At 40.9% G+C, this 15239-nt stretch overlaps 1 protein-coding gene across 1 annotated transcript in view; it reads left to right on the top strand.

Annotated features, from left to right (window-relative positions):
* Positions 1 to 15239, top strand: part of NAA38 (N-alpha-acetyltransferase 38, NatC auxiliary subunit) — a 28736-nt gene that overhangs the window by 648 nt on the left and 12849 nt on the right. The window contains exon 2 of the mRNA NM_001330111.2: positions 1438 to 1538. The gene's annotated coding sequence lies outside the window, so the exon portion shown is untranslated. The remainder of the gene's footprint in view (positions 1 to 1437; positions 1539 to 15239) is intronic.

Genomic DNA, 15239 nt, shown 5'->3' with positions numbered 1-15239 from the left:
CACCGCCCGCCCGCCTCCCCCACCGCTACCACCACCACCTCCTCCTCCTCCTCCTCCTCCTCCTCCTCCTCCTCCTCGGCGGCGGCGTCCTCCTCCTCCTCACCGCCTCCCCCAGCCCCCCAAACCCCCGGGCCACCCCCCTCCGAAACCCCCACCCTCGGGGCCGCCGTCTGAGGAGGGGGGCCAAACCACCCCCAAAAATTGTCTTGGAAAAAATTGAGGAAAGACTTTTTTTCCTTCTCTCTTTCCTCCCAAGAGAACAAGAAAGGGGGATTTAAAATATATATATATATACATATATATATATATATATATGTATATATATAAAAGTTTTCGACTTCTCTCTGCCCCCCTCTCCGTTGCTTTAAATATATTTAAATTCTGAGGGGGGCGCTCAGAAATATTTCTCAGAGCTGAGGCACTAAGATGGCCGCCTTGAAATTATTTTTAAAACAACCCCCCCTCCAGCACCGCCACCCCCTCCATAAAGAAAGGGAGAGGGGGGAAAATCCCCTTTTCAAACAAAATGGCTGGCTTAATATTTCATTTTTCACCCCCCCATTCTCCTCCCTGTTACACCCCCATCTCCAAGCCTTTACCCAGAAACCCACAAATTTCTCCTTTTTCATAACTGATTAGTGCACAGATTAATAGAGATATTTTCCTTGTGTACTGAAGTGTGTGTGTGTGTGTGTGTGTGTTGGGGGGGCATGAAGGATTTCTGCATAAAACAAAAATGGCTGCTGTGACTAACTCCCCCCTTATAAAAAATATTTGAGGGGGGGCATTAATCAGTACTCATGCTCAGTCTGACATCAGCATAAATTGTTAAAGGTTAACTAGTTAGATACTAGTCCAACTAGATTTAATTTTTTTTATTTTCTTTACTAGTCTCTTCCTCCCCACCTCCCTTCTCTAAAGAAAAGCTTTTTTTTTTTTGAATACTTCAGAAGGGAGTGGTTTGATGTGAAGGTTTTTTTCCCCTTCAGGCATTGAAAAGGAAAAAGATGAAATATATGTTTATATATAACTCTGTTTCTACATACCTCATTGAAGTCACAACGCATTTAATTGTGTACATATCTTTTAAATGAGAAGCGGGACTGGATTTTTTTCTGCTTTCTTTAAAAAAAGTGATAGAAATCCTAGTGACTTTTGGGGGAGAGATATGAATAGATACGATGATTGAGTTTTTTTCAAAGGAGTCCATGTTTGATTCTCCCCTTTACCCAGCCTTTTCAGTGATTTATAATTGTTATAAATTTTATCTTTACTCTTTTCCCCTTTCCCTCGCTTTCCCCTCCTCCAATTGTTAGAATGTAAAATTCAACTGACTTGAGAAATTAATTTGGGGGGTAAACAACAAATTTTTAGGATAAAGAGGAAAGAGTCAAATCTGAAGATCGTGAAATTATGTTCTCTTTTCTTCCGTTTCAGTATATTTGCCTTCCCTCCATGATCTCCAACACTATCCGATAAAGTAGAAGCAACTGAGGTACCGTGAAAGAGAAAGGAGCTGGAACTGAGAAAAAGCAGAGGTAGGGGTTATACCCAGGCGTTTTCATCTAACTTTCTGACCTGTGATTTCCAACTGTACCCCAGTGTTTATGGTAAAGTGGTACCAGGAATTGGACAGTTGGAAAGGAGTCCCAAAGTAGCTTTCTCATACAGAGATTTGCCCAGAGAGGTCTAGACAGAAAATGATCCTTGCCAAATGGAGCAAAGGAAGGAGGGCAAATAGCTCAGTTCTACCCTCTTTCATTCTTGTTGACCCTTTCTTACTCTAGCTTCCTCCCATTCCTTTGATCTCCCTTTGCCCCTTCCCTTGCTTCCCATTCCATGCCTGTGGAATCATTTCTCTCTGGGTTATTCCTCTACCTCTCCAGTGTAACTGCTGGCCACCCATCTTCGGCGGTGCTCAGGAGCACCCTGAGAGGGAGGGGTAGGTGGGCAGCAACCAGAAAGTATTAGTGACTGGGAAGATGACGCACATTTTTGTTTATGAAGCTAAAATGTTCTTTATTAATGTTCCACTCCCCACACTAATGCACTTTATTGGGTGTTGGTTTCCATCTCTTTTTTTTTTAACCTGGCCTTTGGAATTCTCTTGCTTTGGTTCCCACATCATTTCTGTACTAAGTCTAACTCCTCCTCCTTTTCCAGTTTTCCTGTCGATTTTGCTCTCTTGTCTTCTTTCTCTGTCCCTCTTTACTAGTTCATCTGGTTATCCCCCCCTTTCTATATTGTGGGCTTCTCTCTATTTATGTCTTTGTTTTTAACTGAGACTATCCTTCTCATCCCTTGGACCCTCAGGCTCTGTCACCTCTACGTGACTTTCCATCTCTGTCTTCTTTCTGCTTACTTCTGTCTTCCAGTCTCTGACTGTGTGTGGCTCTTCCTCATGTGTGCCTGACTCCCCCTCTTTCTGGCCCCTTCTGTGTGTGTCTGTGGATCATACTGTGTATGGGAAGTGTCTCCACGTGTATGTGGGCCACACTGCGCATCATGTGCGCCGCAGCCTCTCTGCCTCTGTGCCCTCTCCCTATACTGAGAGCCTCTGCTTGCCACATGTGCCATGATCTGCAGGTGCGGGTGGCTAAAGGTGGCCGTGTGCATCCCTATACAAACACTCATCATTCTCTCTCTTGAGTGTGCTTTGCATGTGGATTTGCTAATTTGCCTTATTCTCCCTCTCATCCATCCTCCCTTTTGCCTGTCTGCATCTCTTTCTGTTCTCTCTCTCTCTCTCCTGACCTCTTGATTTTTCTTCTTCTCTCCTTATTTCTGCCTCTTTACCTGCTTGCTCCTGTTATGGTGTCTGCCTGCCTGCCTGTCTGCTCCTCCCTGACTGGCTGGCAGCCTCTTTTTCCTCTCTGGTTGTCTGTCTGCTTCTCTGGCTGTTTGCCCACCACTCTCTCTCTAGCCATCTGTCTCCCCGCCTGCCTGTCTCTATCACTTTTTTAGCCTGCATCTCTCGGTTTGTCTACCTTCCAGGCCCTGCCACGGCTCCCCATCTTGGTTTGCCTCTTCTCTTGCCCTTCTGCTTGTTCCTTCTCTTATTTGTGCCTGTTAAGTTCCTCCTTTTCCCTTGCCTCCCTTTAGATCTCTCTTGCCTGTCTACCCTGTTTGCTGCTATCCCACCGTTTCAGGCTTTTCTCTCTTTAGTCTTCATACTTACCAGCTTTTTCTTCCTTTGCTTCTTCTCTGCCAACTTCCATCAATGAGGATAGTCTCTCTCCCCTAAACCTCTCAGTAACCCCTTTGCCTCAAAGTCTTATCTAACTTCTTGCCACATCCCCTACCCTGCCTTCTCTCACGTTTGCCTTTATTTCAGTTATCTCTTTTTCTGTCTTTCTGGTTCCTCAGACAGTCTGCCTGTCTCAGTCTTTTTGCCATTTTCCCAGTCTCTCGCTGCCTTCCTGCCTTTTTGCTGTCTGCTTGGCAGGCTCTTGCTGTCCACGTCTCTTCTTGCTTTTCTCTCTTCTTTTGTTTCTTTTTCCAGTTAACTTCTAAATAGGTAGTACATACTTATGGTACAACATTTTAAAAGTACAGAAAGTGTACTGTGAAAAGTAAACCTGTCTCCCATCCTTCTCCCCTAGTCCCGGAGTTCCTCTCCTCAGAAGCAGCCACTGTTTCACATTTCCTGGATACTGCTCCAGAGAAAAGTCTACACATATACAAGTCTTTTTGCTTGCTTGCTTTTGCTTGTGTTTTGCTGTACTCCTCCCTACTTTTCTTCCAGTTTTTCTGGATGCTCCTTCCTCTGTCAGTCTGTCAGTACTCCTAACTAACTTGGCTGGGCTTGCCATCTCTGGTCTTTTTGATTCTACCAAGTGTTACCCAAAGCACGTGTCTTTTGGATTGACTAGTTACTGGTTGCATGCGTTCACTACCAGTACTTGAGGAGTGCTCAGGAAGGCTTTACTCTCTCCAAATGTAGTCTACTCTGCATGGTAAGTGGTCTGATGCCAGCAAGACATCTTTGTTGGTCGCTTCATCACTGAAATGTGTATTGGAGAAGGCATGAAAGCACCGGTAGTACTAAAAAGTACCCTATAAATATAGGCACTGTTAATAAGTAACAGTAAGCTGAGCTTACATGCACACAGAGTAGGTAGAGGACTGCCCTGCTTTCTCACTTAGTCTATATGAATTCTGTAAGGTCATGTGAATCCAGATCCTTTAGGTTGTCGACCTAGGCCTAAGAAGTTTGTCTTCCTCCTAGTCTAAAAAGCTTTCTCCTGATTAAAGCCTTCTGGCTCCACTCACATGCCACCTTAGAGACATTTTATAACTCTTTGAAGGAGACAAAGACACAACCTCTAACCAGGTCTCTTTGAAAAAGATGATAATAAAACTTCTACACACAATGCACTGTTCTTTCATTTCTGCTTTTTTACTGCCTGTTTTCCTGAGTTTAACTGTTTCAGCCTCTATCTTTGTGTCTCTCCACTCTTTCCCTCTTTCCCTCTCTTACTTCTCTTTTCTTGGTTCTTTCTTCTTATCTGTCTGTCTTGATCTCTATTCTAGCCTCTTTTTCTGATTGGCCCTCTCCCCTCTCTTCTGTCTGATTGGCCTGTATCCTTCCATCACCCCATCTGTCTGCTGGATTCTCCCTGTCTGCCTGCAGTAATGTATGTGATAGCACTTTATAAATTATAAAGCACTATGTTGTATAAAACACCATTATCACTTTGTCTTCCTTCTTACCTTATTTTTTCTTCCTTTATCTGTCTTCCCTTCTTCTCTCTTTCTCTCTCTCTCTGTTTGCCTGTCTGCATCCCTTTTGGTGATTTTGCCTGCCTTCTCTGTCAGTCAATCTCCATTCCCTCCCTGCCAGCCTATTTTTCTGCCATCCCTCTTCTCTGTCTGCTCAGTTCTTGCATCTCTCCTTCTGTGTTTCCAGGTTTCTCTATATTTCTTTTGCCTGTGTAGTCTCTCTGTCGTTAGGCCTTTTATCTATGCCTGTGTGTCTCACTGTCTAGCTGCTTGTCTCCCTGCCTGTCACTTTCATTGTGGGGCATCAGTCTCTGCCTTCTTCTGTCTTTCAGTACTTCAAAAAATAAAAATTAAATAAAAAATTTAAATTCCTTATGATTAATGGGTACAGGAGAATATTTTTTTTGTTTTAATGAGAAGACTATTAAGGTGAGAACAAAGAACTCAAATATTCAGCTGTGAAATGCAAATGAAGAAAAATTTTTAAGGGACTCTCAAGCCAAGAATAAGATTATTTAACGCAAAAGCAAGAAACATATCTAAAGCAATAATTTCTAACCTTTTAGGATCGTAGAAAGTTAGAAACTTTCTCCAGAAAAAAAAAATACACACAAAATGTCACATATGTTTTCACGGTGTTACGAATACCCTGAAGTCTTGGACCCCAGGTTAAAACTCTGATGTAGGGAACCAGTGATAATCAGTGATAGAGCACAGACATGTACTCATACAACAAGCAGAGTAAAAGACTGAAAAAACACTTGCAATCTATGATTTTCTACCCAAGGATATGTTAAAGAGATTCCTAATTGTCTTTTGAAATATGTAGGTCAGTGATAATAATGAAAGGCATGTAAATACTCAGGATAGTCTAGACCTAATCATAGTATTTTAGAGATGGAAGGTCTTATAAATCAGTGGTTCTCAAATGGCTAAGAAAGGTTGCCACATGTCCTTTACTGGAAAAGTCTGTCCTTTATTCTGAGAGGATATATTTCTGATATATATTTTTACATAGAATAAATATAGTATACAGTATATTTATATAGGATAAATATATGTATATATGCTTATATTTTATGTTATAAATTATGTTACATATTATTAAACATATATACACATATACATATTTATAATGTTAAAAACTTCCTTTCTAAAGCTGAGATAGATCTGTATGGCAGAATGTGAGTAGATTTTAGTGGGGAAGGGGGAGGAAAAGAATAAGAAAATGACTTTTTATACTTACTGTACAATCTGAAAATTTTCAACATGTACTTCTTTTATAATTATACAACATTTTAAATAATTTTAAATATCTTTTTATGAGACGTAGTTTCATCCTTGTTGCCCAGACTGTAGTGCAATGGCGCGATCTCAGCTCACTGCAACCTCTGCCTCCCGGGTTTCAGCCATTCTCCTGCCTCAGCCTCCCGAGTAGCTGGGATTACAGGCGCGTGCCACCACCACACCCGGCTAATTTTTTGGATTTCTAGCAGAGGCGGGGTTTTACCATGTTGGCCAGGCTGGTCTCGAGCTCCTGACCTCAGGTGATCCACCTGCCTCGGCCTCCCACAGTGCTGAGATTATGAATTTTGTTGTTCTTAATGTCCTTACTCAGCACAATGAAAAGTCAGCAACCCCATGTTGATCACTAACTTTTTTTTTTTTTACATTTTATTGATCATTAAAATCTAAAAGTCTAGGATTTACTGCTTTAATCTAACCTGTTCTTGATTTTATCAAGGAGGAAACTTCAGTCCTTCATATATCATATTCATGATTTGCCATATCTATATATCAGCTATACCATTATATGCATACTATTTTTCTTTAAATCACTCACCTTTCTTTAACTTAAATGAATGTTCTTTAAAAGGTAAATTTTATATTGCTAGAAATAATATTCATAAGTCTTTAATTTGATACTGTAATTATGTTTTTCTTTCTAATTTAAAATGCAATATTGTTAAAATAAAAATCAATAAAAGTAAAAGCATCTTGCATGCTACTAATAATATAGGTACATATTTTAGAAAATATCACTTTAATCTAATTTTATAGGTATAGAAACTGGGGCCTAGATATTGAAAGGATTACCTAAGATCAAGTTAGTAGTTAGAGACAGAACCAGGACTTGAACTTTTATCTTTCGGTTTCCAATCTAGTGTTCTTCTACTATATACTACATGAGTTTTAAGTCAATGAGATGTCCTAGAGTTTTAAAGGACACTAATATGTGAAACTGATGGTCACATATATTACTGTTATTAACTATAACAACTATGCCACAAAACTAGCAAGGCCAATTTAATAGTATGTGTTATACTTATAAACTTAGTGTTTTTTGACACAGAGTTCCACTTCTCACCATTTATTATAGAGAAACAGTCACCATACTTATGCATAGGGTGACATTACAGAGCTATTCATTACAACACTGTTTGTAACAGCAAAAAACTGGAAACACCCTAAATCTCCAACAGTAAGGAATAGCTAAACAAACTACACAGCAGTTAAGAAAAAGGAGTTACTGGGGCACATGTTCTCAGGATTTCCTGGGGCTGTGTCGCAGGCCATTAAAAAGAAAAAGAAAAAAGAAAAATGAGTTACTTCTGTATGTAGAGACATGGTTAATATATTGTTGAATGGAAACAAGCAACTTGTAAAAAAAAAAAAAATGACATCATTTAGTTTATGTTTAAAGAAATTAAAACAATAATATTTTTACTGATACATTTATTTGGATTTAAATGCTTTTAAAAATGCTGGAAGTGTACATACCAAACTGGTAACATTGGTTACTTTCAGGAAAAAATAGTCAAGGGGGATTGTTTGCTTCATTGATAATTCTGAATTTTTACAATGAGAAAGTATTTATTATTTATGTAAACAAAATTAAGTAGCTTCATTGATTACGTTAGCAACTGGAGCCAAATGGGATAAAAAGTAGTATGACTTCTCTAAAGAAATAATTCCTCATGAATCTCTGGTTCTTTGAAGTGAAAAATGTGTAAGCAAAGTACAATCAGTAGATGTAATGTAGTTAGGGTTTTTAAAACATTAGTGAGGTTCCACTTTAAAGAATAATTAAAATATGAGAGGGAAAAAGGGAAAGTACAGAAGAGCATATATAACATGGTAACATTTATGAAAGAAAAAAATATGTGAATATCCATAGAATATTCCTGGAAGAATATACAGGAAACCACAGTAGTTGCCACTGGGAAGGGGAAATTATTTTTTAATTGTACATCTTATAAAGCAATTTGAAAATTTTTTAGTGATCAAGAGATTGACTAGGTGAAGGGAGGAGGGACATTTTTTGAGATAAAGACTTAAAACAGATATAAAAACCTAAGTAGCAGTATATGATTGTGATGATGGTTATGGGCTGTAAAATCAGCATTCAGAGAAGAAAGCTCTTTCTTGGTTGGGAGGGGGGAAGCAAGTAAATAACTTTCATATGTAGTTGCATTTGAGGTTAGCTCCCAAATAACTGAGATTTGTATAGCAAAGAGGAAGTAAAAGGGCAGTTTAGGTGGGATAAGAAAGAATTTAGTAGGTAGTATGTAGACCTCATATGGCTGGAGTGGTAAGTTCATGATAGGTTATAGTAGGAGTTAGTACCTCTTTAAAGGGTAAGAATTTTAGTATATCAAGTGAAGAGTAGAGGTCAGAACCTTGGGGGAACTTTGAAGGATGGAGTAGCCAAAGAAAAACAAGTTGTTCAAGTGTTAAGTGTACCAGGTAGTGTTGTTATGGTAGAGTAGGCAGACAGCTTCAGAAGGAAGGCATGATCATTGATACTAGATGCTTCGTGGGAATCAAGAAGAGTACAAACTGACAGTTCCTCAAAAAGTTAAATATAGAGCTACCATATGACCTTGCAATTTCAATACTAAGTGTACACCCAAGATAATTGAATCATATGTCCACACATAAAGTTGTGCATGAATATTCATAGAAGCATTATTCATAATAGCCAAAAAGTGTAAACAAAAATATCCATCAACTGATGAATGGATAAATATAGTATATCCATACAATGGAATATTATTCAGCCGTAAAAAGGAATGGAATACTGATACATGCTATAAGATGGATGAACTTTGAAAACATTATGCTAAGTAAGAGAAGTTAGACATAAAAGGCCACATATTATTTGATGCCATTTATATGAAATGTCCAGAATAGGCAACTAGTAGATCTGTGGTTGTGCAGGTTTCAGGGAAGGGAAGAATGGGAGGGACTGCTAATGGATATGGGGTTTCTTTTGGGGGTGATGGAAATGTCTGGAATTCTGGATAATGGTGATAGTTGCACAGCCTTGTGAATATACTAAAAACCCCTGAATTCACTTTAAAATGGTGAATAAGGTATATTAATTCTATCTGAATTTCTTTTTAATACAAACCAGCCAATACAGTGACTCACACCTGTAATCCCAGTGCACTTTGGGAGGCCAAGAGAGGAGGATCGCTTGAGGCCAGGAGTTTAAGACCAGCCTGAGCAACATAGCAAGACTATCTCTACAAAAAAAGTTTAAAAATTAGCCAGGCATGGTGGCTCATGCCTGTAGTCCTACCTACTCAGGAAACTGAAGCAGGAGGAGAGCTCAGCCCAGGAGCTGGAGCCTGCAGTGAGCTATGATTACACCACTGCACTGCAGCCTGGGCAACACAGTGAGACTCTGTCTCTAAAAAAAAAACAGTACAAACCAAGAAAAGTATTGTACTTGTCATTTGGTCACCTTTAAAGCCAGTTTTAGTGAGGAAGTTAAATATCAATTAAAGATTGTGAGAAACCATTAAAATATTACTTATGGAGGGTTTTTTGTTTTGTTTTGTTTTGTTTTAGAGACAGGGTCTTGCTTTGTCACCCAGGCTGGAGTGCAGTGGCGTGATCACAGCTCACTGCAGCCTCGAACTCCTAGGCTCAAGCTTTCCTCCTCCCTCATCCTCCCAAGTAGCTGGACTACAGGCACACACCACCACAACCGGATAGTTTTAAAATTTTTTGTAGAGATGGGATCTCGCTGTGTCGTTCAAATTGGTCTTAAACTCTTGGCCTCAAGCGATCCTCCCACCAGTGGCCTTCTGAAGTGTTGGGATTACAGGTGTGAGCCACCACACCCGACCTAATTTTTTTTTTTTTTTTTTTTTTTTGAGATGGAGTTTTGCTCTTATTGCCGAGGCTGGAGTGCAGTGGCACAATCTTGGTTCACTGCAACCTCCACCTCCTGGTTCAAGCGATTCTCCTGCCTCAGCCTCCTAGGTAGCTAGGATTACAGGCGCCCGCCACCACACCCAGCTAATTTTTGTATTTTTAGTAGAGATGGGGTTTCACCATGTTGGCCAGGCTGGTCTCAAACTCCTGACCTCAAGTGATCCACCCACCTTGGCCTCCCAAAGTGCTGGGATTACAGGTGTGAGCCACTGCACCTGGCTAATTCTTTATCTCTACTGTTGCCTCCAGATTCCCTCATCTTGTGTAAGAAGCCCCTATTTCTTTAAGGCTGCAGCAGTCTTGCTGTGTGCTCCTTACCTTCTCTTCCTCAGTGTTTTCTACTTATCTCCTGACATTTCCTTCATTCATTGAAGACTGACATCTGGCTTAGTCCTGCCATCATCTTGGGTGACCTTAGGATCCACATGAATGATCTATTCATCACCCAGACTTTTTGGTCCCTTGATCCCCTTATTTCCAGAGACCTTTCTAGCCATCCCACTTCTGGCCCCATCTCTGGACTTCCTTTTGAAGTATTAAATTCAAACCCCCAACTTGGGCCACAACTTTCTATCCTTCTAGCCCCCTCATTTACTTCTACTCTGTTCTTGGACCCACCATGAGACAATGTAGTCCCTTAGCTCCTCATTTTCTCCTAATCAGCTATACCATCTTCACCTCTTTTCCTATCCAGCTTAAGTTCCATGGTCTATCATTTTAACCATGCTCCTGCCACTGTCTTGGTGCCCTCTTCTTATTTTCCTTCCTGCAAACCCCTGGCCTTGTATCACTTTGGTTGCTTGTTTACACCCAGGATGCAAAGGGCTGCTGAAGAAAACACCATGACCATTCAGACCAGTGTTTCTGTTCAGGAATCCTTTTTCCTAGTCAGCTTTCTTTTAGTTCTCCACAGTGACTTCCTCAAAACCTTCTCCTTACACTAGTTCATTTTAAAGAAAAGGATACCTATGTTCATTTTAATATCATAATGGATAGAAAATCTTATCTACTTCCAGGAGATAGATTATCATATGAGAACTCCCTTGAAATTCCAATACTCAACTACATGTTTAACTCTATCCATATTTGTCCTTTTATCCTGTCCTCCTGTCCTGTCTGAAGCTAATGCCTATACTTGGGCTCTTAGTCTCACCCCTGCCACCTTCTCAGGGACTAATGGTTAGCAGCGATCCTCTAACTCAGTCCTTTATTTCCGATTCCACTTGCTCTTTCCCAGTCACATTAAAATGTGCTCAAATCTCCTTATCTTTGAAAGAAATACTCTGGACCCCTTTAGCTGCCACCTTACCGCACTGTGTCCATTCACAGCCAAGCCTCTTGAAAGCATTAACTGCCCTCAGTGTCTACTTCCCTACTCATTTTCCAGCCCTCTGCCCCCACCACAGCTGCTTTCACCAAATTACCAACAACCTCCTGGTTGCTGAAAATCAGAGGATGTTCTTAGTTCTTCACTTGACCACCCCCTTTTTGAAAAAAAGAATTTGCTTGACGTCTGTAGTTTCGCATTCCTGGTTTTTCCCTTGCCTCTCTGGCTCCTCCTTGTCAGTCCCTGTTCAAAGAGGCAGTGCTGTCTGGATTAGTGGTCAGCCATGGTACTTAAGAACCTGGGCTTGGGAGACAGGTCTGGGTTCATATGCGGCTTCCACTTCTCAGAGTTTCAGTTTCTTCAACTAAAATGGCAACATATAAGTCTTTTTGTGAAGCCCTAATATTACCAAGTCAATGGAATTACCCTTTTAAGGTCGTTAGTACTGTGTTTGACACACAGTAAGCAGGCATGCACTAAACTCCCCTGACTCTCCAAGCTTATAATAGGTGCTCCTCCTATGTGCTACCATATTATCCTTTATCTTTCTCATTAGGCTCCAGAGAGGAGGGGCCCTGTCACCCTTCTCCACTGTCGTATCAGTCTAGCACACGGCCAGGCACACATTAGGCACCCTGGAAATACCTGTTGACTGCTTCAAGTGTTTAATATATGGCAAAGGTGATACTTTAAATCAGTGGGGCAAAGGATTATTGATAAATAATGATGCATAATTGATAAATGGAAAACTATTTGTGAAAATATAAAAGGTAGATCCTTACCATTTACTAAAGTAGTTTTCAGATGGATTAAATAGTGACATTAAAAACAAAAATTGCCCGGGCACAGCGGCTCAGGCCTATAATCCCAGCACTTTGCGAGGCCGAGGTGGGCGGATCACAAGGTCAGGAGTTCAAGACCAGCCTGACCGACATGGTGAAACCCCGTCTCTATTAAAAATACAAAAATTAGCCGGGCGTGGTGGCGCATGCCTGCAATCCCAGCTACTCAGGAGGCTAAGGCAGGAGAATCACCTGAACGCGGAGGTTGCAGTGAGCCAAGATTGTGCCACTGCACTCCAGCCTGGGCAACAGAGCGACTCCGTCTCAAAAAACAAAACAAAACAAAAAATGTAATTCTGCTCAATTCAGCAAGACCAAAAAATTTTTTAGAGAACTAGAATGAGATATAAAAAGTGTGGGTGAATATTTTCCTGATCTTGGGGGTGAAAAAGGCCTTAAGCGTACAACAAGCATCAACGTGGATGCTTTAAAGGAAAACGTGGATAGATTTAACTCAATGAAACTAAATTTTACTGTGTAAGAAAACATAAAGTTAAAAGACTAGCTAGGAAAATATTTGTGCCATTAATGACAGACCATTTTATTCAGTAAATACTGTGTGCTCTAATAGAGCTCAGAGATAACAGAAACTACTCTAGCTCAGAAAGATACTTTATCCAGGAAACCAGGGCTTACAAAATTATTGGAAGGGCCAAAGAAGAACTACAGACAGGGTTTCCAGAGTGACAAGAAGATTGTAAGGACAGGCTTGGTGGCTCACGCCTGCCATCCCAGCACTTTGGGAAGCCGAGGTGGGTGGGTCACTTGAGGTCAGGAGTTCGAGACCAGCCTGGCCAACGTGGTGAAACCCCATCACTACTAAAAATACAAAAAATAGCCAGGCATCATGGTGCGTGCTTGTATTCCCAGCTACTCGGAAAGCTGAGGCAGGAGAATTGCTTGAACTCGGGAGGCGGAGGTTGCAATGAGCCAAGATTGCACCACTGCACTCCAGCCTGGGCGACAGAGTGACTCCACCTCAAAGAAAGAAGAACGTTTTAGACCTGGCCCACCAGAGATCTACTTCCTATTTCTTCAGTGATCAAGAAGCTGCTGGGGTCGGGTACTGGCTCCAGGATTACTCCAGTATTGTATTACAGCAGGAGTAAGGGGGTATAAAGGAAGATAGCGAGCTAGTGTTTGTATTCTTGATGAAATAAAGATGTCATAGAAATCAACAATAAGAAAAAGACCAATAGAAAAAAAATACAAAAGTAGTAAAGTATATGTACAAAAGATGAACAATAGGATGATGATTGCTGACTTTTATTGAGTTTTACTCTGCATCCAGGAACTAAGTACTTAATATGTACTAACTCACTCACTCCTTTCAATAACCTTATAAAGTAGAAAGTATCCTAATACTCATTTTACAGATGAGAAAACAGACAAAGGGAGGTTAAATATCTTGCTCAAGGTCAGAGCTATTGAGAGGTGGGCATTTATGCCTAAACTCATGGACCACAGTAGACCTGAAAAAAGAAAATTAGATGATGTGATGGCTCAAGAATTGGACATTGTTAATAGCAATTGAGAAAGAAGCTGGCTTTAAGAGGCCATAATGAATTTGTTTCTAGATGTGCTTAGCTCGATATGATGGTGTGGCATCTTTTTAGAAAAATAATTTCTGGTTGGGTGTGGTGGTTCACACCTGTAATCTCCACACTTTGGGAAGCTGGGGTGGGTGGATCACTTGAGCCCAGGAGTTCAAGATCAGCCTGGGCAACATAGTGAGACCCCGTTTCTACAATTTTTTTTTTTTTTTTTGAGGTGGAGTCTTGCTCTGTCGCCCCCAAGCTGGAGTGTAGTGACACGATCTCGGCTCACCGAAACCTCCACCTCCCAGGTTCAAGCAATTCTCCTGCCTCAGCCTCCCGAGTAGCTGGGATTACAGGCGTGCACCACTGCACTGGGCTAATTTTTGTGTATTTTTTTTAGTAGAGACCGGGTTTCACCATGTTGGCCAGGCTGGTCTTGAACTCCTGACCTCAGGTGATCTGCCCACCTCGGCCACCCAGAGTGCTGGGATTACAGGCGTGAGCCACCGTGCCTGGCCAAAATAAATAAATTTTAAAATAGAAGTAACTCAACTTCTGAGCTATGGAATAGTTCTCTGTACCTCCAGTACCTAATAAAGAACCCAAATACTGCAATATATCTTTTCGATTAAAAGATTTTTTGTTTTTTAATTGATTAAAAGATTTTATCTGGTCTGCTCATCCTTCTATTGCTGCCTTTTAGCTAAATCCATTTCCTTGCTCTCACTGAGTAAGGAATATCATCTTAATCAGAAGGAGGAAGATGTAAGCCTAAAATTGTTGTAATTGTTGTCTTTGCCTTCTGCAAGTTTTTTAGATCTGCTTTTAAAAATTTATTTTATTTTATTTTATTTTTAAGACAGAGTCTTCCTCTGTCACCCAGGCTGGAGTGCAGTGGCATGATCTCAGCTCACTGCAGTAACTGCCTCCCAGGCTCAAGCAATCCTCCCACCTCAGCTTCTGGAGTAGCTGGGGTTACAAGCACAGGGGCCACCATGCCCAGCTGTAGATCTTCTTCGATTGACCACTGTGATGGAAACTGAATAATCCTATACAAAATGGCAAAAACCAAACTTTTTCCCATTTGACATTGCTTTTTAACAATTTCTTAATAGTTTTCTGTTGGCTGGCCAGCTAGAAGTATCTTGCTTTTCATCTGTTTTCAAGCCCCAGTTGTTCCAGCAGAATTGCACACTTTTCCCAGCTGATTAACTATCCTTTAGGTTATAAATTTGTCATGGGAAATGCTAACCCACACTGGCTTCCTCTTACCCCTTCACTTGCTCTTGGGCCCTTTCACCATCTAGCACTCCAGTCTGTAAAGGAAAATATTTTTTTTTCTTTTCTTTTTTTTGGAGACGGAGTCTTGCTCTGTCACCCGGGCTGGAATGCAGTGGTGTGATCTCGGCTCACTGCAACCTCTGCCTCCCGGGTTGAAGCGATTCTCCTGCCTTAGCCTTCCAAGTAGCTGGGATTACAGGCATCCACCACCACACCCAGCTAATTTTTTATATTTTTAGTAGAGACAGGGTTTCACCATGTTGGCCAGGCTGGTCTTGAACTCCTGACCTGAAGTGATCCACC

The sequence above is a fragment of the Homo sapiens genome, chromosome 17 (assembly GCF_000001405.40).
Source record: "Homo sapiens chromosome 17, GRCh38.p14 Primary Assembly".
Taxonomy (NCBI): Eukaryota; Metazoa; Chordata; class Mammalia; order Primates; family Hominidae; genus Homo; species Homo sapiens.
Note: the sequence above shows the minus strand (reverse complement) of the source record. Positions and strands in the feature narration are given on the sequence as shown.